Source organism: Homo sapiens, chromosome 17 (genome assembly GCF_000001405.40).
Source record: "Homo sapiens chromosome 17, GRCh38.p14 Primary Assembly".
Lineage (NCBI taxonomy): Eukaryota > Metazoa > Chordata > Mammalia > Primates > Hominidae > Homo > Homo sapiens.
The window spans coordinates 18,337,566-18,365,539 of record NC_000017.11 but is presented as its reverse complement, the minus strand read 5'-3'; the positions used below and the strand labels follow the sequence as shown (position 1 = coordinate 18,365,539).

General features: G+C 49.7%; 1 protein-coding gene and 1 non-coding gene across 10 annotated transcripts in view, besides 1 other annotated feature; both read left to right on the top strand.

Moving 5' to 3' along the window:
- Positions 1,896-2,365: a silencer, noted in NCBI's record as "silent region_8276". NCBI's record gives its function as "represses an Ori minimal core promoter by ATAC-STARR-seq in GM12878 lymphoblastoid cells {active_cell/tissue: GM12878}" and the evidence as "EXISTENCE:reporter gene assay evidence [ECO:0000049][PMID:35858748]".
- Positions 1,990-27,974, top strand: part of SHMT1 (serine hydroxymethyltransferase 1) — a 35,678-nt gene continuing 9,693 nt past the window's right edge. For 3 of the 9 annotated variants that reach the window (XM_024450887.2, XM_017024958.2, XM_005256767.4), the window contains exons 1-8: positions 1,990-2,168; positions 4,988-5,126; positions 9,540-9,654; positions 11,723-11,868; positions 17,100-17,215; positions 17,884-18,044; positions 24,727-24,808; positions 25,285-25,497. In XM_024450887.2, the coding sequence (XP_024306655.1) occupies positions 9,559-9,654; positions 11,723-11,868; positions 17,100-17,215; positions 17,884-18,044; positions 24,727-24,808; positions 25,285-25,497 (814 nt within the window). In that variant the 5' untranslated portion in view covers positions 1,990-2,168; positions 4,988-5,126; positions 9,540-9,558. Of the gene's footprint in view, positions 2,192-4,987; positions 5,127-9,539; positions 9,655-11,722; positions 11,869-17,099; positions 17,216-17,883; positions 18,045-24,726; positions 24,809-25,284; positions 25,498-27,974 lie in introns of all 9 variants that reach the window. The other 6 variants (XM_011523992.4, NM_148918.3, NM_004169.5 and 3 more) reach the window with 3 other exon arrangements.
- MIR6778 (microRNA 6778) lies at positions 24,654-24,726 on the top strand. Its single transcript, NR_106836.1, has one exon. It is a non-coding gene; the product is annotated as a microRNA 6778 (primary transcript).

Sequence of the window (27,974 nt, the reverse complement as noted above, 5' to 3'; positions counted from 1 at the left end):
AGCTACTCGGGAGGCTGAGGCAGGAGAACGGCGTGAACCTGGGAGGTGGAGATTGCAGTGAGCGAAGATCGAGCCACTGCACTCATGCCTGGGCGACAGAGCGAGACTCCGTCTCAAACAAACAAACAAAAAGAACAATTAGCTGGGCATGGTGGTGCACGCCTGTAGTCCCAGCTACTCGGGAAGCCGATGCAGGAGAATTGCTTGAACCAGAGAGGCAGAGGTTGCAGGGAGCCAAGATCGCATCACTGCACTCCAGCCTGGGTGACAGAGCGAGACTCCATCTCAAATAAATAAATAAATAAAACAAAAACAAAAAACAAAAACACTCACTATGTTGGCCAGGCGCAGTGGCTCTTGCCTGTTATCCCAGCACTTTGGGAGGCCGAGGAGGATGGATCACTTGAGATCAGGAGTTCAAGACCAGCCTAGCCAATATGGTGAAACCCTATCTCTACTAAACATACAAAAATTAGCCGGGTGTGGTGGCTCACGCCTGTAATCCTAGCACTTTGGCAGGCTGAGGCAGGTGGATCACAAGGTCAGGAGATCAAGACCATCCTGGCTAACATGGTGAAACCCTGTCTCTACTGAAAATACAAAAAATTAGCCAGGCGTGGTGGTGGGCTCCTGTAGTCCCAGCTACTCGGGAGGCTGAGGCAGGAGAATGGCATGAACCCAGGAGGCAGAGCTCGCAGTGGGCCTAGATCGCGCCACAGCACTCCAGCCTGGGCAAGAGAGGGAGACTCCGTCTCAAAAATAAAAAAAAATTAGCCAGGCGTGGTGGCGGAGGCCTGTAGTCCCAGCTACTCAGGAGGCTGAAGCAGGAGAATGACGTGAACCCGGGAGGTGGAGCTTGCAGTGAGCCGAGATCGCGCCACTGCACTCCAGCCTGGGCGACAGAGCAAGACTCTGTCTCAAAAAAAAAAAAAAGTTTTTTTTGTATTTTTTGTTTGTTTGTTTTTCGAGATGATGAGGGTCTCACTCTGTTGCCCAGGCTGGAGTACAGAGGCAAGATCATTGCTTACTGCAACCTCTGCCTCCCAGGCTCAAGTGATCCTCCCATTCAGCCCCCCAAGTAGCTGGGACTACAGGCGACTGCCACCACACCCAGCTAATTTTAAAATTATTTGTAGAGACAAGGTTTCACCATTTTGCCCAGGCTGGTCTTGAACTCCTAGGCTCAAGCCATCTGCCTCGGCCTCCCAAAGTGCTGGAATTACAGGGGTGAGCCACTGCGCCCGGTTTTTATCATTCTTATAATAATTATTGTTATCATTTGACAAATAAAAAAATTTATGACGCAGCCTCAGGTGGTCCTGACATGTGGCCCCGGTTTTTATCATTCTTAACAATAGGTAATGTTCATTGAGTCCTTATTGTGTGTCAGTATTTTATTTATCTTATTTTATTCTTCTTGAGACGTTGTCTCGCTCCGTCCCCCAGGCTGGAGTGCAGTGGCGCGATCTCGACTCACTGCAACCTCCGCCTCCTGGGAGGCAACATAGTTAGACCCCCATCTCTACTTCAACCTGGGGGACAGAGTGAGACCCTGTCTCAAAAAAATAAAAATAAAAAATAACAAAAATAATAATAATAAAGTGTCTGCTCTTGGATTATACACCTACAGAGTAATAATGTTGCAGTTTGGACGCACATTTGTCCTACTTTAAATGACCACCCTGCAAACTAAAAGTAGTACCATGAACAAAATTCACTCATAATCCCACGGCCCAAGCGACAGGCTTAAGTGAGGAAGGCCCTGTGTAGTCTTCCTGGAAATCTTGGTCCACACACCAGCCCTGCAGCCAAAGCGGGTCAGTTCTGCAGGTCCCTGCCCCAGGTGCGCAGCTGCACTACGCGGCCTCCGGCCCGCCCCGGAGAAACAGGCCCTGCCCGCCGCTGCGCCGCAGCCAATAGCGCGGGTGCGTTTGGTGGCGGCCCATGCTTGGCTGCGCTCTCTGATTGGGCGCCTCCGGGGGCGGGGCCAAGCCCAAGCCTGGCGCGCAGAGTGCACCTTCCTGAGCTCGAGCGGTCCAGCGCCAAGTTCGGGGTTTGGGGTTGGAGCGGCTGGTCACGTGGCTGGCCCGCGGCGGTGCGCGGGGCGTTGGGTCAGCGGGTCTGGGACTGGTGGCACCGGCGGCGGCGTAGGACGGAGGCGTCGCTAGGTACGTGCGCGGGCCGTGTTCCGGTAGGTGGGCGGCTTCGGGTCCGAGGGCCGCGGCGTCCCAGAGCCCGGGGGGTGCTTCGGCGTCCTCGCTGTCCCCCGCCGTACCCCACCCTCTGCAGCCGCAATGACGGGAGGGGAGCGCTTGGGTCGCGCCTGGGCTGGGGATCGGGCGGCGGCCAGCCGCAGCGCCCCAGTTCCAGGCACATTCGGTATGATGGGGTGGCGGCCCGTGGCCTTTGGCAAGAATGCGAAGGCTTATCGGGGATGTGAGTAGTAGCTCTCCACTGAACACTTTTCTCGTTGAGCATTTTCGATTTAAACAATCCTAGCTCCTTCACAACAAAGCTGCAAGTCAAGTGCTACTGTTTCCCCCATTTTACAGGTGAGGAAGGTGGTGGGGCCCTGAGAAAGGAGGCAACTTAAATGGCAGAGCCCGGAATAGAACCCGGGTTCTCAAAGCCTGCGCCCCTAAAGGCTGCGCGCAGGGTCGCTCCACTTTTGGCCCGTGCCACCAGATCCCTGTGGGGAATGAGCTCTTCCTGTTGCCCGCAATCTGCCACCCCCTGTTCTAGGAGACAAATGTTGCACTGTGAAGTTCTTGGCCCGGTGCCTTGGCTTCGAGATTCCGGGAGTTAAGTGACCCTTGGTCCAGCTGAGGTCAGCACAGATGCGGGCCTTCAATCGGGCAGTTACCCAGAGAATAGACTGGAAACACCAGTTTAGGTTCTTGCAGAAATAACATTGTAGGCCGGGCGCGGTGGCTCATGCCTGTAATCCCAGCATTTTGGGAGGCCGAGGTGGGCGGATCACTTGAGGTTAGTAGTTGGAGACCAGCCTGGCCAACATGGTGAAACCCCGTCTGTACTAAAAATACAAAAAAACCTGGCTGCCCATGGTGGCACACACCTATAATCCCAGCTACTCGGAAGGCTGAGGCAGGAGAATCGCTTGAACCCGGGAGGTGGAGGTTGCAGTGAGCGGAGATCACGCCACTGCACTCCAGCCTGAGTGACAGAGTGAGACTCTATCTCAAAAGAAAGAAAGAGAGAGAAAGAAAAGAAAAAAAAGAAAAGAAATAACGTAAATTTATTACTTGGGGGAACTTGGAACGGAAGTGGGTAATTGTGTTTTTATTTAGTGCAATGTCCTGGGACAAGGCCTTGGAACTGAAGAGAAACCATTGTTCAGATTCTGGCTCTTATATGGCTTTAGACAAGTTAGCTCCCTGGGCCTCAATTTCCTCTTCTGTAAAGAAGAGAACACAAAATGTGTGTGAGATAGAAGATGTGCAACAAGTTAGTTCCCTGAGCAGATCCTTGGCTGGATCCTCTTATGTGACAGAGGCCCAGGTAAGATTTGGAGGCATGGGGAGGCTGGTGACCTTGCAGGTGACTTCACTTACTAGGTCTTTTTCCCTGACGTTGAGGATCATGCCACACATGAGCAACAGTGCCTCTACAGAAATATCCAATGTTGTAATGACTGATGTTGCAGTGAGCTGTGTTGGCTGGGGGACTTACCAGGTATTACTGAATGTTAATGAAGATGTCCCTAAGATTCCCAATTTTCTTTTTTTTTTTTTTTGAGACGGAGTCTCACTCTGTTGCCCAGGCCGGAGAGCAGTGGCGCGATCTCGGCTCACTGCAAGCTCCGCCTCCCGGGTTCACGCCATTCTCCTGCCTCAGCCTCCTGAGTAGCTGGGACTACAGGCGCCGCCACCACGCCCAGCTAATTTTTTTTTATTTTTGTAGAGACGGGGTTTCACCATGTTAGCCAGGATGGTCTCGATCTCCTGACCTCGTGATCTGCCCGCCTCGGCCTCCCAAAGTGCTGGGATTACAGATGTGAGCCACTGCACCCAGCCCCCTTTTTTCTTTTTTGTTTTTTTTTTTGAAACGGAGTCTAGCTCTGTCACCCAGGCTGGAGTGCAGTGGCATGATCTCGGTCCACTGCAATCTCTACCTCACTGGTTCAAGCTATTCTCCTGGTCTCAGCCTGCTGAGTAGCTGGGATTACAGGCATATGCCACCATGCCTGGCTAATTTTTGTTTTTGTTTTTTTTTTTTTTTTTGAGACAGAGTCTTGCTCTGTTGTCCAGGCTGGAGTGCGGTGGCACGATCTCAGCTCACTGCAACCTCCTGGGTTCAAGCGATTATCTTGCCTCAGCCTCCTGAGTAGCTGGGGTTACAGGTGCGCACCACACACCCAGCTCATTTTTGTATTTTTAGTAGAGATGGAGTTTTACCGTGTTGGTCAGGCTGGTCTCGAACTCCTGACCTGGGGTGATGCACCCGCCTTGGCCTCCCAAAGTGCTTGGATTACAGGAATTGAGCCACTGCGCCCAGCTAATTTTTGTATTTTTAGTAGAGATGGGGTTTCACCATATTGGCCAGGCTGGTCTCAAACTCCTGACCTCAAGTGATCCACCCACCTCGGCCTCCCAAAGTGCTGGGATTACAGGCGTCAGCCACCGCGCCTGACCGCTTTTTTTTCTTTCTTTAGAGAGACGGGGTCTCCCTATGTTGCCCAGGGTGGTCTTGACTCTTGTGGTCCTGTGACTCCCCAGACTTCAGGTGTGCAAGCCTGATTTCTGACCCTTGGCCAGTCACACTTTCTCCTTTGTCTGGCCTTTGAACTTGGGGTGCTCTGCACTTGTTTACTCTGCGTAGATTGCTCTCATCCCAGATTTCATGGTTGGCTCCTTTCCACAGCTCAGATTTCAGCTCCGGGACGTTCCCTGACCCAGTCTAAAGTAGCCTTGCACCCATTTATTGCATCTTTCTTTCTTTTCTTTTCTTTTTTTTTTTTTTGAGACAGGGTCTTGTTCTCTTGGCCAGGCTGGAGTGCTGTGGGAAAATCTGGGCTCACTGCAGCCTCAACCTCCGGGACTCAAGTGATCATCCTGCCTCAGCCACCCAGAGTAGCTGAGAATACAGGCGTGCGCCACCAGGCTCGGGTAATTTTTTGTATTTTTTTTTAGAGACAGGGTTTTGCCATGTTGCCTAGGCTGGTCTTGAACGCCTGGGCTCAAGTGATCTTCTCGTCTCAGCCTCTCAGAGTTCTGGGATTACAAGTGTAAGCAACCATGCCTGGCCTTGTGTATTTCTTTTTGGTTTTTTTTGTGATGGAGTCTTGCTCTGTCACCCAGGCTGGAGTGCAATGGTATGATCTCGGCTCACTGCAACCTCCACCTCCTGGGTTCAAGCGATTTTCCTACCTCAGCCTCCCGCATAGCTGGTATTACAGGGGCCCACCACTATGCCCATCTAATTTTTGTATTTTTTAGTAGAGACGGGGTTTCGCTGTGTTGGCCAGGCTGGTCTCGAACTCCTGACCTCAGGTGATCCGCCCGCCTTGGCCTCCCAAAGTGCTGGGGTTACAGGTGTGAGCCACTGTGCCTGGCCAAATAATTTTTTTTTTTTTTTAAGATAGAGTCTTGCTTTGTTGCCAGGCTGCGGTGCAGTGGTGTGATCTCTGCTCACTACAGTCTCCGCCTCCTGGGTTCAAGCCATTCTTCTGCCTCAGCCTCCTGAGTAGCTGGAATTACAGGCGGGCGCCACCACACCCAGCTAATTTTAGTATTTTTAGTGGAGATGGGGTTTCACCATGTTGGCCAGGACAGTCTTGATTTCCTGACCTTGTGGTCTGCCCGCCTTGGCCTCCCAAAGTGCTGGGATTACAGGCGTGAACCACTGCACCTGGCCTTTTTTTTTTTATTGAGACACAGTCTCACTCTGTCACCCAGACTGGAGTGCAGTGGCACAATCTCGGCTCACTGCAGCCTCCACCTCTGAGGCTCAAGTAAGTCTCATGCCTCAGGTGTGTGCCACCACACCCAATTAATTTTTTATATTTTTGCTATAGACAGGGTTTCACCATGTTAGCCAGGCTGGTCTCAAACTCCTGGCCTCAAGTTGATCTGCCCACCTCAGCCTTCCAAAGTGCTGGGATTACAGATGTGAGCCACCTTGCCCAGCCTAATTTCTAAATTTTTGTAGAGACGTGGTTTCACTGTGTTGCCTAGGCTGTGGTTGAACTCCTAGGCTCAAAGGATCCTCCTGCCTTGACTCCCCTAAGTGCTGGGATTACAGGCATAAGCCACCATACCAGGCCCTTTTTTTTTTTTCCCCTGGAGACAGAGTCTTGCTTTGTCACCCAGGCTAGAGTGCAGTGGTGTGATCTCGGCTCACTACAACTTCCGCCTCCCGGGTTCAAGCGATTCTCCTGCCTCAGCCTCCCAAGTAGCTGGGGTTACAGGTGCCTGCCACCACACCTGGGTAATTTTTGTATTTTTAGTCATGTTGGCCAGGCTGGTCTCGAACTTATGACCTCATGATCCGCACGCCTTGGCCTCCCAAAGTGCTGGGATTACAGGCATGAGCCACTGGGCCCAGCCCAACCTGTAATTCTTTAGGAAGATTTATATTCAAACAAGTCCTTTTTTTATTTAAAAGAAAAAAACACACACACACAGGGTCTTACTCTGTCACCCAGGCTGGAATGCACTGCCACAATCACGGCTCATTGCAACCTCTAGCTTCCAGGCTCAGGTGATCCTCCCACCTCAGCCTCCTGAATAGCTGGGACTACAGATGCATGCCACCACGACCAGCTAATAATTTGTATTTTTTGTAGAAATGGGGCTTTGCCATGTTGCCCAGGCCAGTCTTGAACTCCTGGGCTCAAGTGATCCTCCTGCCTCAGCCTCCCAAAGTGCTGGAATTACAGGCATGAACCACCACACCCAGCCCAAGTACATATTTTAACTAACAGCTTCACAGGAACTCTGTGGATTACTTAGAGCATGTGCTTTGGGGTTTCGAGTCCTGCCTCTGTGGCTAACTTTCTGTGCAGCCCTGGGCTAAGATATTTTACTTTTCTTTGAGACAGAGTCTCGCTCTGTTGCCAGCCTGGAGTGCAGTGGTGATCTTGGCTCACTGCAACCTCTGACTCCCAGGTTCAAGTGATTCTCCTGCCTCAGCCTCCCGAGTAGCTGGGATTACAGGCGTGAGCCACTACGCCCGGCTAATTTTTGTATTTTTAGTAGAGATGGGGTTTCACCGTGTAGGCCAGGATGGTCTCGATCTCCTGACCTCCTGATCCGCCCACCTCGGCCTCCCAAAGTACTGGGATTACAGGCATGAGCCACTGCGCCCAGCCACAATATTTCACTTTTCTAACGTCGTTTTTCTTTCTTTAGTTCTTTTTTTTTTTTTTTTAAGAGTCCTAGCCCAGGCTGGGCGCGGTGGCTCACACCTGTAATCCCAGCACTTTGGGAGGCCGAGACCATCCTGGCTAACCGGTGAAACCCCATCTCTACTGAAAAAATAAAAAAAAAATTAGCCAGGCATGGTGGTGGGTGCCTGTGTTCCTGGCTACTTGGGAGGCTGAGGCAGGAGAATGGCATGAACCCGGGAGGTGGAGCTTGCAGTGAGCCGAGATCGCGCCACTGTACTCCAGCCTGGGCGACAGAGTGAGACTCTGTCTCAAAAAAAAAAAAAAAAAGAGTCCTAGCTCAGTAGGTAGGACTATAGGCCCATCCCACCATGCCCAGCTAACTTTTTTTTTTGTAGCAATGCCCAGGCTGGTCTTGAACTCCTGGCCTCCCAAAGTGCTGGGGTTACAGGTGTGAGTTGCCATGCCTGGCCCTGAGCCTCAATTTCATTACTTGAAGTATGAAATAAATTAACACATTAAAGTGTTGCTAGGATTAAAATGAGGTCCTTATGTATTCAAAAATCGTACAGAGATTTTTGAGGCCCTTCTTATAGCAAAACTCCCATTTACATTTTTCTGGAGCCTGGAGAAATGTGTCCAGACTGAGTGAATAGGTGCTATTTGCTGTACTTACATTATCATTTATAAAATACTACTGGTGGTCATCCTGGAAAGATGATCCCAACTGCCTATATCCTGTTCATCATTAACTTGTGTGTCCCAAAAAATCTTTTGAAAAGTTGCTAAATAGTGAATATTTACTATTTTATGAGGGCCTGCCAGTTCCCTGCCAGTGGAATTGTTTCAAGTCAATGATTCATCTGTTCAGTCATTTGGAAAATACTCTTTTTTTTTTTTTTTTTTTTTTTTTTTGAGGTGGAGTCTTGCTCTATGGCCAGGCTGGAGTGCAGTGGTGTGATCTCGGCTCACTGCAAGCTCTGCCTCCCAGATTCAAGAGATTCTCCTGCCTCAGCCTCCCAAGTAGCTGGGACTACAGGCATGTGCCACAACGTCCAGCTCATTTTTTGTATTTTTAGTAGAGATGGGGTTTCACCAGGTTGGCCAGGATGGTCTCCAACTCCAGATCTTGTGATCTGCCCACCTCGGCCTCCCAAAGTGCTGGGATTGCAGGCGTGAGCCACCGTGCCCGGCCGGAAAATATTCTTCATGTATAGCAGTGTTGGGTACCGCAGGAGATTTTTTAAAAAGTAGCACTCAGTCCTTACCTTCAAGGAACTTAGTTTAGTTGTGGGAGATAAGCTATATCCATGAGAAGTTTGGCTGAGAGGAGGCGGAGTTGGGCTCCCTGCAGGTGGGGAGGAGGGTCAGTTCTCATTTCTGAGGGAGATGAGCTGACGTCTGCAGTTTGGAAAGGAACCAGAAGTTCCACATGGTGGTTTTGCAATAGAACATGCTCGTGTTTACCAAGCAATTCTGAGGGAAAGGCTAAAAAAAGTGTTAGTTTATCAACTTGATAGAACTAACAGGTTTCGATGAGCTTTGATTCAATATAATGCTGCGGCCAGGCATGGTGGCTCACGCCTGTAATCCCAGCACTTTGGGAGGCCGAGGCAGGCGGATCACTTGAGAGGAGTTCAAGACCAGCCTGACCAACGTGATAAAACTCCATCTCTACGAAAAATACACAAATTAGCCAGGCGTAGTGGCGCACGCCTGTAGTCCCAGCTACTCAGGAGGCTGAGGCAGGAGAATCACTTGAACCCAGGAGGCGGAGGTTGCAGTGAGCCAAGATCACGCCATTGCCTGGGTGACAGAGTGAGAGTCTTGTCTCAAAAAAATAAAAATAAATAGGTGGGGCGCGGTGGCTGACACCTGTAATCCCAGCACTTTGGGAAGCCAACGTGGGCGGATGACAAGGTCAGGAGATTGAGACCATCCTGGCTAACACAGTGAAACCTCGTCTCTACTAAAAATACAAAAAATTAGCCGGGCATGGTGGCATGCGCCTGTAGTCAGAAGATTGAGGCAGGAGAATCTCTTGAACCTGGGAGACGGAGGTTGCAGTGAGCCGAGATCATGCCACTGCACTCTAGCCTGGGCAACAAAGACTACATCTCAAAAATAAATAAAAAATAAATAAAATAAATAAATTTAATTCTGGAAGCTACACATGTTTTTCCCATTTTTTTAGGCAGCTTCGAACCAGTGCAATGACGATGCCAGTCAACGGGGCCCACAAGGATGCTGACCTGTGGTCCTCACATGACAAGATGCTGGCACAACCCCTCAAAGACAGTGATGTTGAGGTGAGATTTTTGGGGTCTTCACAGATTTTTTTATGTTGGAGGCCTTCATTTAATCTTTAGTTCTAATTACAAATTAATTAGGGACAGCCTTGAAATGAGTATTATCCTGCTGGATTTAGAGGTGGTGGCAGACAAAATGGCTACAAATCCTTTGAGGGTAAATTTAAAGATTGCTGGGTTTCTTCAAAGTGTGGAGCACTGTGCAGGGTGCTCTGGAGAAAAGCGAGAAGGGGAGAGATCACTGACAGTTGACCCTTTCCTGACAGTTCACAGGGAATATAGATCTATCTAGACATCTGAAAGCACCTTTATTTTATTTTATTTTACTTGTTTATTTATTTTTTTGAGACAGAGTTTCACTCTTGTTGCCCAGGCTGGAGTGCAATGGCGTGATCTTGGCTCACTGCAACCTCCACCTCCTGGGTTCAAGGGATTCTCCAGCCTCAGCCTCCTGACTAGCTGGGATTGCAGGCACCCACCACCATGCCCGGCTAATTTTTTTTTTTTTTTTTTTTTGAGACAGAGTCTTGCTCTGTCGCCCAGGCTGGAGTGCAGTGGCGTGATCTCAGCTCACTGCAAGTTCCACCTCCTGGGTTCATGCCATTCTCCTGCCTCAGCCTCCTGAGTAGCTGGGACTACAGGTGCCTGCCACCACACCCGGCTAATTTTTTGTATTTTTTAGTAGAGGTGGGGTTTCACCATGTTAGCCAGGATGGTCTCGATCTCCTGACCTCGTGATCCGCCCACCTCAGCCTCCCAAAGTGCTGGGATTACAGGCGTGAGCCACCGCACCCGGCCTTTTTTTTTTTTTTTTTTTTTTTTTTTTTTTTTTTTTGAGATATAGTCTTGCTCTGTTGCTCAGGCTGGAGTGCAGTGACGCGATCTCAGCTCACTGCAAGCTCCATCTCCCGGGTTCACGCCATTCTCCTGCCTTAGCCTCCCGAGTAGCTGGGACTACAGGTGCCAGCCACCACGCCCTGGCTAATTTTTTGTATTATTTTTTTTTTTTTAGTAGAGACGGGATTTCACTGTGTTAGCCAGGATGATCTTGATCTCCTGACCTCGTGATCCACCTGTCTCGGCCTCCCAAAGTGCTGGGATTACAGGCGTGAGCCACCACGCCCGGCCTAAAGCATCTTTTCTTTTAAGGAAGAAGAACAAGGAATAAGGTTCAGGGAGGGAGAAACTTGGTGAAATGTAGGAATAAAAATAACAGGATGGTGGTGTTAAAAATTAGGTGGGACACTTAAAGATAACTTTCTCTTCAATCATTTTGTTTTTCTTTTTCTGAGATGAAGTCTCGCTCTTGTTTCCCAGGCTGGAGTGCGATGGCGCGATCTCGGCTCACTGAATCCTCCACCTCCCAGGTTCAAGCGATTCTCCTGCCTCGGCCCCCCGAGTAGCTGAGATTATAGGCGCCTGCCACCACACCCATCTAAGTTTTGTTTTTTTGTTTGTTTGTTTTTGAGACAGAGTTTTGTTCTTGTCGCCCAGGCTGGAGTGCAATGGCGTGATCTCGGCTCACTGCAACCTCCGCCTCCCGGGTTCAAGTGATTCTCCTGCCTCAGCCTCCCGAGTAGCTGGGATTACAGGCATGTGCCACCATGCCCGGCTAATTTTGTATTTTTTAGTAGAGACGAGGGTTTCTCCATGTTAGTCAGGCTGGTCTCGAACCCCCGACCTCAGGTGATCTGCCCATCTCGGCCTCCCAAAGTGCTGGGATTACAGGCGTGAGCCACCACGCCCAGCCAAGTTTTGTATTTTTAGTAGAGATGGAGTTTCACCATATTGGCCAGGCTGGTCTAGAACTCCTGACCTCAGGTGATCCACCAGCCTCGGCCTCCCAAAGTGCTGGGATTACAGTCGTGAGCCACCGCACCTGGCTATCATTTTGTTTTTGTTAATTCATTGATTAGTGCTTTCTCAGATACTAAAACCTTTGAGGAGGATTCATTCTATTCCATAATGTGAAAGAGTGTCTTTTCTCTTTAGGAGGTTGTAATTTGGATCAGAGCAAAATTTTAAACTAAAATTTCCAAATATCAAGCATCTGTTTTCTTCTCATAAGGTTTACAACATCATTAAGAAGGAGAGTAACCGGCAGAGGGTTGGATTGGAGCTGATTGCCTCGGAGAATTTCGCCAGCCGAGCAGTTTTGGAGGCCCTAGGCTCTTGCTTAAATAACAAATACTCTGAGGGGTACCCGGGCCAGAGGTATGTGAATATCTTCAAAGGCCTGGTTCTGACACAGTCATAGGGAGTACTCAGTCAGCCTAGGACCTAAACAATTTGGAAATTTCAGAAAACAATAAGCTTCCCAGCTGTAGGATTTCTGTTCCACGCCTGCTCTCTGACAGAACTCTTTTATTCCCAGCATGTGATAACACTGAAGAGCTCAGCGCAGGTGTACTCAGGGGCACATTTCACAGTTCTTTGGGGGCTTTCTAGAAAAACAGGCCAGTTTGTAAGGAGTATTGAGCCACTGGACTGGTGTGTGGCCTCTGTCTAGAAAAGGTCAGTGTCATCTGAGGGATGCTGCAGAAGGTGGCCGTTGCCATGTGAGTCATCGAGTCTGTATTGGGAATGGTGTGGAAGTGGAGGCTGAATCTGGATTACTGAAAACCGTTTCTGCATTATAAATGTTGGATTTACACATGCAGTGGCTTTCAGTTGACTCTTTCACCCTCAGAATTACAGTGTTATATTCGTTTTTGTTTTTTACAGTCATCATCAGGCAAAGAAAATAAATTACAGAATTAGACATGGCTTTTGCAAATGTGTGCATTTTTGTCCCAAAGGAAACAGAAAGGTCACCCTTGGAGAAGGAATTGCCATTCTGTCCTGAGATGCCCCTGAAGCTCTATGTAGAAGACTGAGAATCAAGTTGAAGGCATTGTCTTTCTCCTATTGTGAATAACTAACTTTTGCATTGTGCCTTAAAGAATTCACCAGGTGTTTTCTTTATTTCTCTCTCTCCTTTCTTTTTCTTTTTCCTTCCTTTCTTTCTTCTTTCAGGCTAAGGTATTTTGTTAACACCAGGTGTTTTCTTTTTTTTTTTCTTCTTTTTTGAGACATGGTCTTTCTCTCACCCAGGCTGAAGTGCAGTGGTGTGATCAAGGTTCACTGCAGCCTTGGTCTCCTGGACCCAAGCCATCCTCCCACCTCAGCCTACTGAGTCGCTGGGACTACAGGCACACACCACCACACCCAGCTAATTTTTTGTAGAGACAGAGTTTCACCCAGGCTGTTGTTGCCCAGGCTGATCTCCATCTCCTGAGCTCAAGCAATCCACCTGCCTTGGCCTCCCAGAGTGCTTAGGATTAGAGCTGTGAGCCACTGCACCCGGTCCACACCAGGTGTTTTCAAAACTAATATTTCATTCGATTCTCACAGCAATGTATCGAGCAAGGGGTGATGTTTTCTACATTTTTAAGAAGGGGGACCGGGCGCGGTGGCTCACGCCTGTAATCCCAGCACTTTGGGAGGCCCAGGCGGGCGGATCACGAGGTCAGGAGATCGAGACCATCCTGGCTAACACGGTGAAACCCCGTCTCTACTAAAAATACAAAAAATTAGCCTGGCAAGGTGGCGGGCGCCTGTAGTCCCAGCTACGTGGGAGGCTGATGCAGGAGAATGGCGTGAACCCCAGGGGGCAGAGCTTGCAGTGAGCCGAGATCGCGCCACTGCACTCTAGCCTGGGCGATAGCGAGCCTCCGTCTCAAAAAAAAAAAAAAAGAAGGGGACTGAGTGTAGTGGCTCACCCCTGTAATCCCAGTGCTTTAAGAGGCCAGGGCAGAGGATCATTTGAGGCTAGGAATTTGAGACCAGCCTGGGCAATATAGTGAGACGCTGTCTCCAAAACAAAATTTAAAAATTAGCCGGACATGGTGGCATGCGCCTGTAGTCTCAGCTACTCAAGAAACTGAGGTGGAGTATCGCTTGAGCCCAGGAGATCAAAGGCTGCAGTGAGCTATGATTTTGCCAATGCACTCCAGCTGGGGTGACAGAATGAGACCCTGTTTCTAAATTTAAAAAAAACCCCGAAAAACCACAACTTAAATAGAAGTGTAATTACATCGTTTATTCATGTTAAAGGGCTTGTTGTTTTTTTTTTACACGGAGTATCGCTCTGTCACGAGGCTGGAGTGCAGTGGCACAATCTCGGCTCACTGCAGCCTCCACCTCCCAGGTTCAAGCGATTCTCTTGCCTCAGCCTCCCAAGTAGCTGGGACTATAGGCACGTGCCACCACACCCGACTAACTTATTTATTTATTTATTTTTTGTATTTTTAGTAGAGACGGGGTTTCACCGTGTTAGCCAGGCTGGTCTCGATCTCCTGACCTCATGATCCGCCTGCCTCTGTCTCCCAAAGTGTTGGGATTACAGGCGTGAGCCACTGTGCCCAGCCAATTAAAGGGCTCTTTTAAAAGGTAATTATTGGCTGGGCGTGGTGGCTCATGCCTGTAATTCCAGCACTTTAGGAGGCCGAGCTGGGTGGATCATGAGGTCAGGAGATCGAGACCATCCTGGCTAATACGGTGTAAACCCCATCTCTACTAAAAAAAAATACAAAAAAATTAGCCAGGTGTGGTGGCTGGCGCCTGTAGTCCCAGCTACTCGGGAGGCTAAGGCAGGAGAATGGTGTGAACCTGGGAGGTGGAGTTTGCAGTGAGCCGAGATCGCGCCACTGCACTCCAGCCTGGGTGACAGTGAGATTCCGTCTCAAAAAAATAATAAAAATAAAAATAAAAGGTAATTATTACATGTTTTCATTATATTTTGTTAATATAATTTAATATTAATCTACCTTTGGAACATTATTTAAAATCAAAGGCAATATTTGAAAACAATAGGCAAGGCGTGGTGGTTCACACCTGTAATCCCAGCACTTCGGGAGGCTGAGGCAGGTGGATCACCTGAGGTCAGGAGTTTGAGACCAGCCTGGCCAACATGTCGAAACCCTGTCTCTACTAAAAATACAAAAATTAGCTGGGTGTGGAGGTGCGTGCCTGTAATCCCAGCTACTCTGGAGGCTGAGGTAGGAGAATCGCTTGAACTTGGGAGGCGGAGGTTGCAGTGAGCCGAGATCGCACCACTGCACTCCAGCCTGGGAGACAGAGCAAGACTCCATCTCAGAAAAAAAAAAAAGAAAACAGTGTTGACCTAACGTTAATGACTTTGCTTGATACAAACCTAAAAACAAAGTTCTGGGTTTAAAACAAAATGTTATGTATGTGTGAATAAATGAATGACAAGGTCTCGTTGTCTTGCCCAGGCTGGAGTGCAGTGGTGCAATCTCGTCTCATTGCAGCCTCAAACTCTTGGGCTCAAGCAATCCTCCTGCCTCAGCCTCTCTGTAGCTAGGACCACAGGTGCGTGCCACCACACCAGGCTAATTTTTAATAGACATGAGGTCTTGCTGTGTTGCCCAGGCTGGTTTCAAACTCCTGGCCTCAAGCAGTCTTCCCACCTGAGCCTTCCATATTACTAGGATTACAGGTGTGAACAACCACATCTGGCCTATTTATTTTTTATTTATTTATTTATTTATTTTGAGACGGAGTCTCACTCTGTCGCCCAGGCTGGAGCGCAGTGGCACGATCTCGGCTCACTACAAGCTCCACCTCCCGGGTTCACGCCATTCTCCTGCCTCAGCCTCCCGAGTAGCTGGGACTACAGGCGCCCGCCACCACACCCGGCTAATTTTTTATATATTTTTTAGTAGAGACGGGGTTTCACCATGTTAGCCAGGATGGTCTCCATCTCCTGACCTCGTGATCCGCCCGCCTCGGCCTCCGAAAGTGCTGGGATTACAGGCGTGAGCCACCGTGCCCGGCCTATTTTTTATCTATTTTTATTTTTTTGAGACAGAGTTTTGCTCTTGTTGCCCAGGGTGGAGTGCAATGGTACAATCTCGGCTCACCGCAACCTCCGCCTCCCAGGTTCAAGCAATTCTCCTACCTCAGCCTCCTCAATAGCTGGGAATACAGGCGTGCACCACCACGCCTGGCTAATTTTGTATTTTTAGGAGAGATGGGGTTTCTCCATGTTGGTCAGGCTGGTCTCGAACTCCTGACGTCAGGTGATCCGCCCACTTCGGCCTCCCAAAGTGCTGAGATTACAAATGTGAGCCACTACGCCGGGCCCGGCCTATTTATTTTTTTTAGAGTTAGGGTCTCACTGTGTTGCTCCAGCTGTAGTGCAGTGGTACAATCAAAGCTCACTGCAATCTCCAACTCCTGGGTTCAAGTGATCCTCCCACCTCAGCCTTCCAAGTAACTAGGACTATAGGTGCAAGCCACTATACTTAGCTCATTTGTAAAATTTTTTGTAGAGCTGAGATCTCACTATGTTGCCTAGCTGGTCTTGAACTCCTGGCCTCAAGCAGTTCTCCCACCTCAGCCTTCCAAATCTCTGAGATTACAGACATGAGCCACTGCATGTAGTTACTTTAAATTTTTTTTTGAGACTGAGTCTTGCTGGGATGCCCAGGCTGGAGTGCAGTGGGGCGATCTCGGCTCACTGCAACCTCCACCTCCTGGGTTCAAGAGATTCTCCTGCCTCAGCCTCCCGAGCAGCTGGGATTACAGTCACCCGCCACCACTCCCGGCTAATTTTTGTATTTTTAGTAGAGACGGGGTTTCACCATATTGGCCAGGCTGGTCTGGAACTCCTGACCTCAGGTGATCTGCCCACCTCGGCCTCCCAAAGTGCTGGGATTACAGGCGTGAGCCACCATGCCCAGCCTAAGCTTGACTACTTTAGGGACCTCATAAAAGTTGAATCATACAGTGCTTGTCTTGTGGTGACTGGTTTGTTTCACTTAGCATAATGTTCTCAGGCTCATCCCTGTTGTATTAATAGCATGTGATAGGATTTCTTTCCTTTTTTTTTTCTTTTTCTTTTCTTTTTTTTTTTTGAGACAGGGTCCAGGCTGGAGTCCAGTGGCGTGATCACAGCTCACTGCAGCCTTTACCTCCTGGGCCAAAGTGAATCTTCCCTTCTCAGCCTCCCAAGTAGCTGGGACTATGGGCACACACCACAACACCTGGCTAATTTTTTGAAATTTTTTGTAGAGATGGGGATATTGCTGTATTGCCCAGGCTGGTCTCGAACTCCTGGGCTCAAGCAATCCTCCTGCCTTGGCTCCTCAAAGTGCTGGGATTATAGGTATAAGCCACCTCTCCCAGCCAAAACCCCCTCTTTTTATAGATGAGATATTTGCTCCAAGTTGCACAGCTGGTTTGGTCTCTTGACTGTAGATTCCAGAGGCATTGGTGGAACACTTGATCATGCTGGCTTCAGCATCTGCATGTTAACAAGCTCTTCTCATTACTTCTCTCCACTTTAGTTTCACTGTCCCACCCCTAAGCTTCTTTGGCCTCTGTGAAGCACAGACTTTCTGGGTCTGAGTGGATCTAAGTCTCCTGCTCTTCTCCCACAGATACTATGGCGGGACTGAGTTTATTGATGAACTGGAGACCCTCTGTCAGAAGCGAGCCCTGCAGGCCTATAAGCTGGACCCACAGTGCTGGGGGGTCAACGTCCAGCCCTACTCAGGTGCTTGTCTCATCCATATGGCCTGGTGCAGCCTCTTCATGTGCATCCCCCAGGGCCGACATGCACCAAGAAGAGTCCTAAGATGGACTGCCATGGACTGCCATAGGCCGGGCCCAGTGGCTCACGCCTGTAATCCCAGCACTTTGGGAGGCGGAGGCAGGCAGACCACCTGAGGCCGGCAGTTCAAGACCAGCCTGACCAACATGGAGAAACCCGGTCTCCACTAAAAATACAAAAATTAGCTGGGTGTAGTGGCACATGCCTGTAATCCCAGCTACTCGGAGCCTGAGGCAGGAGAATTGCTTGAACCTGGGAGGCGGAGGTTGCAGTGAGCTGCCGAGATGGCGCCATTGCATTCCAGCCTGGGCAACAAGAGCGAAACTCCATCTCAAAAAAAAAAAAAAAAAAAACTGCCATAAATAAAAGATAAGTCACGCATCCCTCTGCATTACCCTTGGGCTCCCAGCTCTATACCCCCTCCCAGGCAGTGCCCTCTCTCTGAACTTCACCTCTCAAGGCTGGTGGTGAAGGGGCACCTCCTGGAGCTCAGGGAAGGTACAAGGCCTGTTCTCGCCACTCCTGGGTGAAGGCTTAGTGGCCAAGGTCCCGGATGCCACTTGGTACCTCAGTTAGAAATAATCATGTCTCCTCTGGTCCACTCGTTTCAGGCTCCCCTGCAAACTTTGCTGTGTACACTGCCCTGGTGGAACCCCATGGGCGCATCATGGGCCTGGACCTTCCGGATGGGGGCCACCTGACCCATGGGTTCATGACAGACAAGAAGAAAATCTCTGCCACGTCCATCTTCTTTGAATCTATGCCCTACAAGGTAAGCATGTGTTTCTCTCCTAGCTTTTATTTCCTTGGGAAACCTCTGATGCTTGGCTGTGCCTGCAGGGGTAAGTTTGGTTTATGTGTCACTACAGGAAGTCCCCACCTCGCACCGTTTTTAATTTCCTTGCAGCGGGGACTCCTCAGGTTTTCAGGACCCGCTGGGGCAGCTGGGATGGAGAGACGAGGGTCTGAGCTGAGGCCACAGGGAAACCAGTGAGGGAGGCAACTACTGAGGAGAGTTCAGATGTGGCAGGGGCAGTGGCAACTGCTTGGAATAGCAACCCTGGGGAATAGCAACCAGGTCACTACAGTTGGACCCCAGCAACAGCCACCACCTCTGCAGCTCTGCCCTCGCCTGGTGACATCTCTGCTCGGAGCCCCTGTGGGCCAGCAGCAGCACAAGGATGCAGTAGCTACAGGCATGGCAACGTCCCCAGCTCCAGCACCAAAACCAGCAGCCCGGCACCATCCACAGCCACAGTCCTCCATGGCCACGTTAGGGCTAGCCCCTGCCTGTGTATAGTGGCTACAGAGGAACAGACAGTGGTTTGACTTAGGGCGTTCAACTTTAGGATAGTGCAAAAGTGACATGCGTTATTAGCTGTACTTCAAGCCCCCCATACGACCATTCTGCTTTTCAGTTTCAGTACAGTATTCAGTAGATTACATGAGATAGTCAACACCGTATTATAAAATAAGGTTTGTGTTTGACTATCTTGCCCAGTGGAGGGTACCACAGTGTCCTCAGCATGTTTAAGGTAGGCCAGACTAGGTTGTGATGTTTGGTAGGTTAGGTATATTACATGCATTTTTGACTTTATGATATTTTCAGCTTAATGATGAGCTTATTGGAATGTAACCCCATAAGTTGAGGAGCACCTGTATGGCTCAGGTGTACACCCCATTGCCATTGCCACCCCACTGCACATACCTGATAACGCAGCCAGCCCAGCAGTGGAACCAACACCATCAGAACCAGTGCCAAGTGCTGCCTCTAGGGTGTGCAGGGCCCCAGGCAAATACTTGTTTTTCGTGGGACCCGTCTGTATAAACAGTTGGGTCAAAAAATGCCTGTAAGATGTGTGGGCTTATTCAGGCATGGTGATTTATCTATAAAAACGAAGGATAATGGGAAGAAGAGGTAACTTGCTTTTTCTTTTAGTGTCCAGTGTTGGTGATTCTTTCTAGTGTCCCGGAACCATCTTTTCATGTTCTTTATTAATAAATGTGCCATTCCTGCTTAGTTTCATGTTTGTTACCATGAAAAAAGGTAGCACTGCATCCTTCTGCTTGGCTGGCATTGCATGGTCTTGGGTGCATGCTGTCCATGGTTCTGTGTGTACTCAGCCTTTGTCTCAGTGCTGGTGATTGCACGTGTGCTCTTTTTTGCAGTCATTTCTTTTCACAGAACACCTAGGTGTTTGCAGTCACAGATCTCCTCATTGGCCAAGGCCAGCCTTGAAGCTAGATTTTGAAACATGTCACAATAGTAACAAAATAGTTTGTCTTGGCTGGGCTCGGTGGCTCACACCTGTAATCACAGCACTTTGGGAAGCTGAGGTGGGCAGATCACCTGAGGTCAGGAGTTCGAGACCAGCCTGGCCAACATGTTCAAACCCTGTCTCTACTAAAAATACAAAAAATTCCTCAGGTGTGGTGGTGCACACCCGTAGTTCCAGCTACTCAGGAGGCTGAGGAGGGATAATTGCTTGAACCTGGGAGGCGGAGGTTGCAGTGAGCCAAGATTGCTCCATTGCACTCCAGAGTGGGCGACAAGAGTGAAACTCCATCTCAAAAAAAATAAATAAATAAGAAAGGCAGGGTGCAGTTGCTCACGCTTGTAATCCCAGCACTTTGGGAGGCTGAGGCAGGCGGATCATGAGGTCAGGAGTTCAAGACCAGCCTGGCCAACACAGTGAAACCCCGTCTCTACTAAAAATACATGGTGGTGCACTCCTGTAATCCCAGCACTTTGGGAGGTCGAAGTGGGCGGATCATCCGAGGTCAGGAGTTCGAGACCAGCCTGGCCAACATGGTGAAAGCCTTCTCTACTAAAAATACAGAAATTAACTGGACGTGGTGGCGGGCACCTGTAATCCCAGCTACTCAGGAGGCTGAGGCAGGAGAACCACTTGAACCTGGGAGGCGGAGGTTGCAGTGAGCCAAGATTGCACCAGTGCACTCCAGCCTAGGTGACAGAGCAAGACTCCATCTCCAGAAAAAAAAAGAAAGAATCTGCGTCCCGCACCCAGTTCCCTCCAGCCACCCCCGTCTTTGATGTACATTGTGCAGGCTGCAGTCCTGTGGGTGCAGTGAGGGGACCCACCTCAGGATGGGCATGGAGAGGTGGGGCCTGGGACCCTGGCCAGCTTGGGCAGCAGGAGGTGCAGCTCACCCGCTGTGGGGGTGATTTGAGTCCTGCCCTTGGCGGACAGGAGGAGGAGACAGACCTTATTGGCATTCATCAGCAGCCAGAGGCAGCTCACCTCCACCCCACCGGGCTGCAGAGTTGGAGGTTAGGGGGTGTCCCAGGGCCACTGCCCTGCCCAGCCTTCACCAGACCGCCTGCCTCCACCTTCAGCCCCTGCCCCACTCCACTGCAAGAGCCCCACGCAGGGCCAGGCTAGAGCAACAGCAACATTAACCTTCTATTTTGTGTTTTTGGCCCATCCCCACTGTGACTCGAGAATTCCTCCCTGTCCCTGGTCCTAAGTGACTGCTGGGGTCTCCTTCCTTATCCTCTGTGCACTGTGGACCCCATCTGCAGTTTATTATAAATGCCTATGAATTCTTCTAGGAGTTGTTCTCTTGTCTCATTTTCAAGATTAAAAAAAGAAAAGAAAAACCTTTGAAAAACCCATTAAATTAAAAAGGGAGAAAGCAGCACAGGCTTTTTTTTTTTTTTTTTTTTTTCCGGTAATTGTGGCTACACAAAAAATTTTAGAATTATGTCCATTTTTTTTAAATCTTTTTTTTTTTCCTTTTTGTGGAGAACAAGATCTCACTATGTTGCCCAGGCGGGTCTCAAACTCCTGGACTCAAGCTATCCTACTGCCTCTGTCTCCCTAAGAGCTGGGATTACAGGCGTGAGCCACCATGCCCGGTGAATTACGTCCATTTTTACTGGAGGTCAGCTGTTGATATTTCATTTCATAAAACGGTTTCTTTGCCAAATTCAGGTGACTGAGAAAGAACCACACCCCTGAAGCAAAACACAGCAAACAAAACCACAAATCATCTTTCAGCTTGACTTTCTAGATGAGGTCTTGGTTCCCGAAACCTTGTGGCAAGCTTCTATAGTTGGGTTGGATTATAACTGCCTTTTTTTATTTGGAAAGAGTGACCACCAATCCTGAAACCTTTCACTCCAGATGTGCTGGTAGTTTCTGAGGGGGACACCAAGGTAAGAGGAAGGAAGGTTGGGTCAGGGCCTTCAGAACAGGGAGCCTCTCTGCACATCTCCTCTTCCCTGAGGCTTCTCAGATCCCAGAGCCCAGTTTTTCCTGTGGTGCGCTCTATGCTCTGCTGGTTATGTGTGCTTACCCATGACTTTTTTTTTTTTTTTTTTTTTAAGACAGTATCTGGCTCTGCCTCCCAGGCTGGAGTGCAGTGGCTCTGTCTCGGCTCACTGCAACCTCTGCCTCCTGGGCTCAAGCGATCTTTCCTCTTCAGCCTCCCAAGTAGCTGGGACTAGAGGCGCATGCCACCATGCCTGGCTAATTTTTGTATTTTTTGTGGAGACAAGGTTTTGCCATGTTGCCCAGGCTGGTCTTGAACTCCTGGGCTCAAGTGATCTGTCCAACTCAGCCTCCCAAAGTGCTGGTATTACAGGCATGAGCCACCGCATCCGGCTGACCCCTTTTTTTTTTTTTTTTTTTTTTTGAGACAAAGTTTCCCTCTTGTCGCCCAGGCTGGAGTGCAGTGGCACGATCTCAGCTTACTGCAACCTCTGCCTCCCGGGTTTAAGCGATTCTCCTCCCTCAGCTTCCTGAATCGCTAGGACTGCAGGTGTGTACCACCATGCCTGGCTAATTTTGTGTTTTTAGTAGAGGTGGGGTTTCACCATGTTGGCTAGGCTGGTCTCAAACTCCTGACCTCAGGTGATCTGACCCCCTCGGCCTCCCAAAGTGCTGAGATTACAGATGTGAGCCACCACGCCTGGCTGACCCATATGTTTATAGAAGTTTAATAAAATGAACTTCCTAAGAGATGTGTTGCCAGAAAAGAAAAATTATTTTAAATTTTACATCGAGATCTACAATCTGTTTGGAATTGACTTTTTTTTTTAAACAAATTATATATAATTATGGGATGCACAGTGATGTTATGATTTGTATATACAGTGTGGAACTATTGAATCAAGTTAACTAACATATCCCACTCCTTAAATATTTATTATTTTTCTTCCTGTCTAACTGCAACTTTGTACCCTTTGCTCAGTATCTCTCCATTGTCTGCCACCCTCCAGTGACTGGTAACCACATTCTACCCTGCTTCTGTGAGTTTGATTGTTTTATTTATTTATTTATTTATTCAATTTTAATTTTTTTTTTTTGAGACAGAGTCTCACTTTGTCGCCCAGGCTGGAGTGCAGTGGCACCATCTTGACTCACTGCAACCTCCGCCTCCTGGGTTCAAGTGATTCTCCTGCCTCAGCCTCCCGAATAGCTGGGATTACAGGCATACGCCACCACGCCTGGCTAATTTGTGAATGTTTAGTAGAGACGGGGTTTCACCATGTTGGCCAGGCTGGTCTCAAACTCCTGTCCTCAGGTGGTCCACCTGCCTCGGCCTCCCAAAGTGCTGGAACTGCAGGCATAAGCCACCACGCCCAGCAGTTCGATTGTTTTAGATTTCACATAGAAGTAAGATCACATGGCCAGGTGCGGTGGCTCACACCTATAATCTCAGCACTTTGGGAGGTCGAGGTAGGAGGCTCACTTGAGTCCAGGAGTTCGAGACCAGCCTGGGCAACATGGTGAAACCCCATCTCTACAAAAATATAAGAATTAGCCGGGTGTGGTGGCACTGCCTGTGGTCCCAGCTATTCAGCAGGCTGAGTGGGAGAATCGCTTGAGCCTGGGAGGTAGAGGTTGCAATGAGCCGAGATGGCACCACCGCACTCCAGCCTGGGTGACAGAGTGAGACTCTGTCTCAAAAAAGAAGTGAGATCATGCAGTATTTGTCTGTCTGAGCCTGGCGTATTTCACTTAGCATAAGGTCCTCCAAGTTCATCGGTGTTGTTGCAAATGACAGAATTTCTTTTTTCAGACTGATTATTATTACATTGTTTATATATATATGTGTCACATTTCCTTTGTCCATTCATCTGTTGATGGACATGGCTTTATTCCATAACTTGGCTATTGTGAATAGTGCTGCAGTGAACATGGGAGTGCACATGTCTCTTTGACATACTGATTTCAAGTTCTTAAGATATAGATTCACAAGTGGGATTGCTGAATATGGAATTGATTTGTGTGGGTGAGGCGGGCATCCAGATAACATTTTTGTCCAAATGGATGCCCAGTTGACCTAGTGCCATTGATTGAAAAGGTCATCCTCTCCCCACTGCACTGCAGCGTCACCACTGGCATGGATCCAATGACCTGTGTTGTGTGTGGTTCTGCTTCTGGTTAAGCCAGATGCTCTGCCCTTCCATGAATGCGTGCTGCCTTAATTACTATAATTTGTCAAGCATTTTGTGACACAAAATACACAACGCAATGATGTTTTGTGTAAAGGTTTGGTATGATTTTCCTTTTATGGTTTTTGTTATTTACATTTCATTTTCTATCTTTCTTGCTTTTATATACTTTTTGGCTTTTTTTTTTTTTTTTTTTCAGATGGAGTCTCGCTCTGTTGCCCAGGCTGGAGTGCTGGAGTGCAGTGGCACAATCTCGGCTCACTGCAAGCTCCACCTCCCGGGTTCACGCCATTCTCCTGCCTCAGCCTCCCAAGTAGCTGGGATTACAGGCGCCCGCCACCATATCTGGCTAATTTTTTGCATTTTTAGTAGAGACGGGGTTTCACCGTGTTAGCCAGGATGGTCTCGATCTCCTGACCTCATGATCTGCCCGTCTCAGCCTCCCAAAGTGCTGGGATTACAGGTGTGAGCCACCGCGCCCAGCCCCTACTTCTTGTTTTTCAATGTTGTATCCAGTGACCTTGCTAAATTTGCTTATTCTAACAGTTGGCCCCTAGCATCTTGATTTTCTAGGTATATTGTGTTGTCTGTGTGTAATGTCAGTTTTTAAATTTCTTCTTTCCTAATCGTTATGCCTTTTGTTTCTTTTTCTTGCCTCATTATACTTGGAATAGAAGTAGTATTAGCAGGCATTTTGGTCTTGTTCCTGAAGGTAACCATTTTGGTTTCCATTGTGTGGTCCCGTCACATTTGTTTCATTCTGCAGGTGCTTTTTGGTTCCTTCTCAGCAGGTAGTGCCCCAGCAGCAGGGCTCACTACAACCCTGGGACTCCTCAGGGACTCCTGGGTCTGTGAGCCATACTTGGTTGAGCAGGCTGAACACACCAGTATCCATCCTGTCTCACCCTCAAGTCCTCATCTAGGACATCATTCCTCTTGTCATGGTGGGTGGAGCCAGTTCAAGTGGGAGGACAGGAGGCAGGTGTGGTTGGAGGAAGCAGCCTGAACCTGCCTCCCTGACATTCCACAGGTGAACCCAGATACTGGCTACATCAACTATGACCAGCTGGAGGAGAACGCACGCCTCTTCCACCCGAAGCTGATCATCGCAGGTGATGCGCGGGGCGGAAAGTCACCTTGTTCACCAGTAGCCTGGTGCCTCTTACAGAATGAGGATGGAAAGATGTTCGCACCCTGTTGAGCCCACTGCTAGTTTCTGCCCTGGATAACTGAGTTTCTGGGGTCTACATATATTAGTTTCTTTCAGGATACAGATGTGTGTTTGCTGCTTTTTGTGCTATGTAGATTAAGATGTGAGACTGTTCTCAGAGAAGCATCTAGAAATGTCAGGCCCTGACTGCGCTGGCAATAGTAGTTGGGGCCATCTCAACCACCAAGACGTTGAAGAGTTAGAGTGGTTGCCTTTAGCACAGAGGTGCTTTTTGAGGGCATTCTCCATTTTTGCTCTGAGACTTTAAGGGAAGAAATCTCTGGGCTTTCAGATCTGCACATCTAGAGGCCACTGTGAAGCCAACTCAGCTGGCCGGTGGACATCTCTGATGCAGCTGTGTCACCTTTCCTGTCTCAGGAACCAGCTGCTACTCCCGAAACCTGGAATATGCCCGGCTACGGAAGATTGCAGATGAGAACGGGGCGTATCTCATGGCGGACATGGCTCACATCAGCGGGCTGGTGGCGGCTGGCGTGGTGCCCTCCCCATTTGAACACTGCCATGTGGTGACCACCACCACTCACAAGACCCTGCGAGGCTGCCGAGCTGGCATGATCTTCTACAGGAAAGGTGAGCTCCCGAATGTTGGGTACAGATGGGTACCATGGTTTACATTTCTCCTGTGGGGGTTCAGATTCAGTTGAGGGAGCTGGGAAAAACTCTGACCTGGGATCCTTGGAAAATATTAAGATCCCAGTCCCTTAAAGAGCTGCTTAGGAAGGAGCAGTGACAGGCTTTACAGAAAGGATTCCCGGCCAGGTGAGGTGGCTCGCGCCTGTAATCCCAGCACTTTGGGAGGCCGAAGCGGGCAGATCACGAGGTCAGGAGATCAAGACCATCCTGGCTAACACGGTGAAACCCCGTCTCTACTAAAAACACGAAAAATTAGCCGAGTGTGGTGGTGGGCACCTGTAGTCCCAGCTACTCAGGAGGCGAAGGCAGGAGAATGGCGTGAGCCTGGGAGGTGGAGCTTGCAGTGAGCTGAGATTGTGCCACTGTACTCCAGCCTGGGCGACAGAGCGAGATGCCGTCTCAAAAAAAAAAAAAGAAAGAAAGAAAGGAATCCCCAGAAGGAGACTGTCAGCCACAGCTCCTGCTTCACTTTTGTGCATCCAGGTCCTAGGAACATAGGAGGGGGATCAGCAACCACTATGTGTTAGGATGGCGCCGGTTGCTGAACTCGAGAGGCAGGTGTTTGAATGAAAGGAGGGTGCATGGCTGGCTGGGGGCCACTGGGAGGCCTCACAAGGCTGCATTATTCTGGTGAACTTACAGTGATCCATCATGTTTCTCAAAGAGAAAGACTCATAGTAGTCAAACTAGAAGACATGGATGTATAAACATTAATATCATTTTAGTGAAGGTTTTTCTTTCCATTACCTCATAACCTACCCCTAGGCACTCCCCTTATTTTCGAATTCCCATACCTGGGAAAGCCTGTTAGTGGTCAGGTCATCATTTAGCCTGTGGTGAGACCTGATGCGCCAACTTTGCATCAGCAGAGACACCAGCCCTCTGGTGACTACATTACTCTTTTTTTTTTTTTTTTTTTTTTTTTTTTTTAGTATTTATTGATCATTCTTGGGTGTTTCTCGTGGAGGGGGATTTGGCAGGGTCATAGGACAATAGTGGAGGGAAGGTCAGCAGATAAACAAGTGAACAAGGGTCTCTGGTTTTCCTAGGCAGAGGACCCTGCGGCTTTCCGCAGTGTTTGTGTCCCTGGGTACTTGAGATTAGGGAGTGGTGATGACTCTTAATGAGCATGCCGCCTTCAAGCATCTGTTTAACAAAGCACATCTTGCACCACCCTTAATCCATTTAACCCTGAGTGGACACAGCACATGTTTCAGAGAGCACGGGGTTGGGGGTAAGGTTATAGATTAACAGAAGAATTTTTCTTAGTACAGAACAAAATGGAATCTCCTATGTCTACTTCTTTCTACACAGACACAGCAACAATCTGATTTCTCTATCTTTTCCCCACATTTCCCCCTTTTCTATTCGACAAAACCGCCATCGTCATCATGGCCTGTTCTCAATGAGCTGTTGGGTACACCTCCCAGACGGGGTGGCGGCTGGGCAGAGGGGCTCCTCACTTCCCAGAAGGGGCGGCCGGGCAGAGGGGCTCCTCACTTCCCAGAAGGGGCGGCCGGGCAGAGGCGCCCCCCCACCTCCTGGAAGGGGTGACGGCCAGGCGGGGGCTGCCCCCCACCTCCCTCCCGGACGGGGCGGCTGGCTGGGCGGGGGCTGCCCCCAACCTGCCGGACAGGGCAGCTGCCGGGCAGAGATGCTCCTCACTTCCCAGACGGGGCGACTGCCAGGCGGAGGGGCTCCTCACTTCTCAGATGGGGCAGCCGGGCAGAGACCCTCCTCACCTCCCAGACGGGGTTGCAGCCGGGCAGAGGTGCTCCTCACATCCCAGACGGGGCGGCGGGGCAGAGGCGCTCCCCACATCTCAGATGATGGGCGGCCGGGCAGAGACGCTCCTCACTTCCTAGACGGGATGGCGGCCGGGAAGAGGCGCTCCTCACTTCCCAGACTGGGCAGCCAGGCAGAGGGGCTCCTCACATCCCAGATGATGAGCGGCCAGGCAGAGACGCTCCTCACTTCCCAGACGGGGTGGCGGCCAGGCAGAGGCTGCAATCTCGGCACTTTGGGAGGCCAAGGCAGGCGGCTGGGAGGTGGAGGTTGTAGCGAGCCGAGATCACACCACTGCACTCCAGCCTGGGCAACATTGAGCACTGAGTGAACGAGACTCCGTCTGCAATCCCGGCACCTCGGGAGGCCGAGGCTGGCAGATGACTCGCGGTTAGGAGCTGGAGACCAGCCCGGCCAACACAGCAAAACCCCGTCTCCACCAAAAAAATACGAAAACCAGTCAGGCGTGGCGGCACGTGCCTGCAATCCCAGGCACTCGGCAGGCTGAGGCAGGAGAATCAGGCAGGGAGGTTGCAGTGAGCCGAGATGGCGGCAGTACAGTCCAGCTTCGGCTCGGCATCAGAGGGAGACCGTGGAAAGGGAGAGGGAGACCGTGGGGAGAGGGAGGG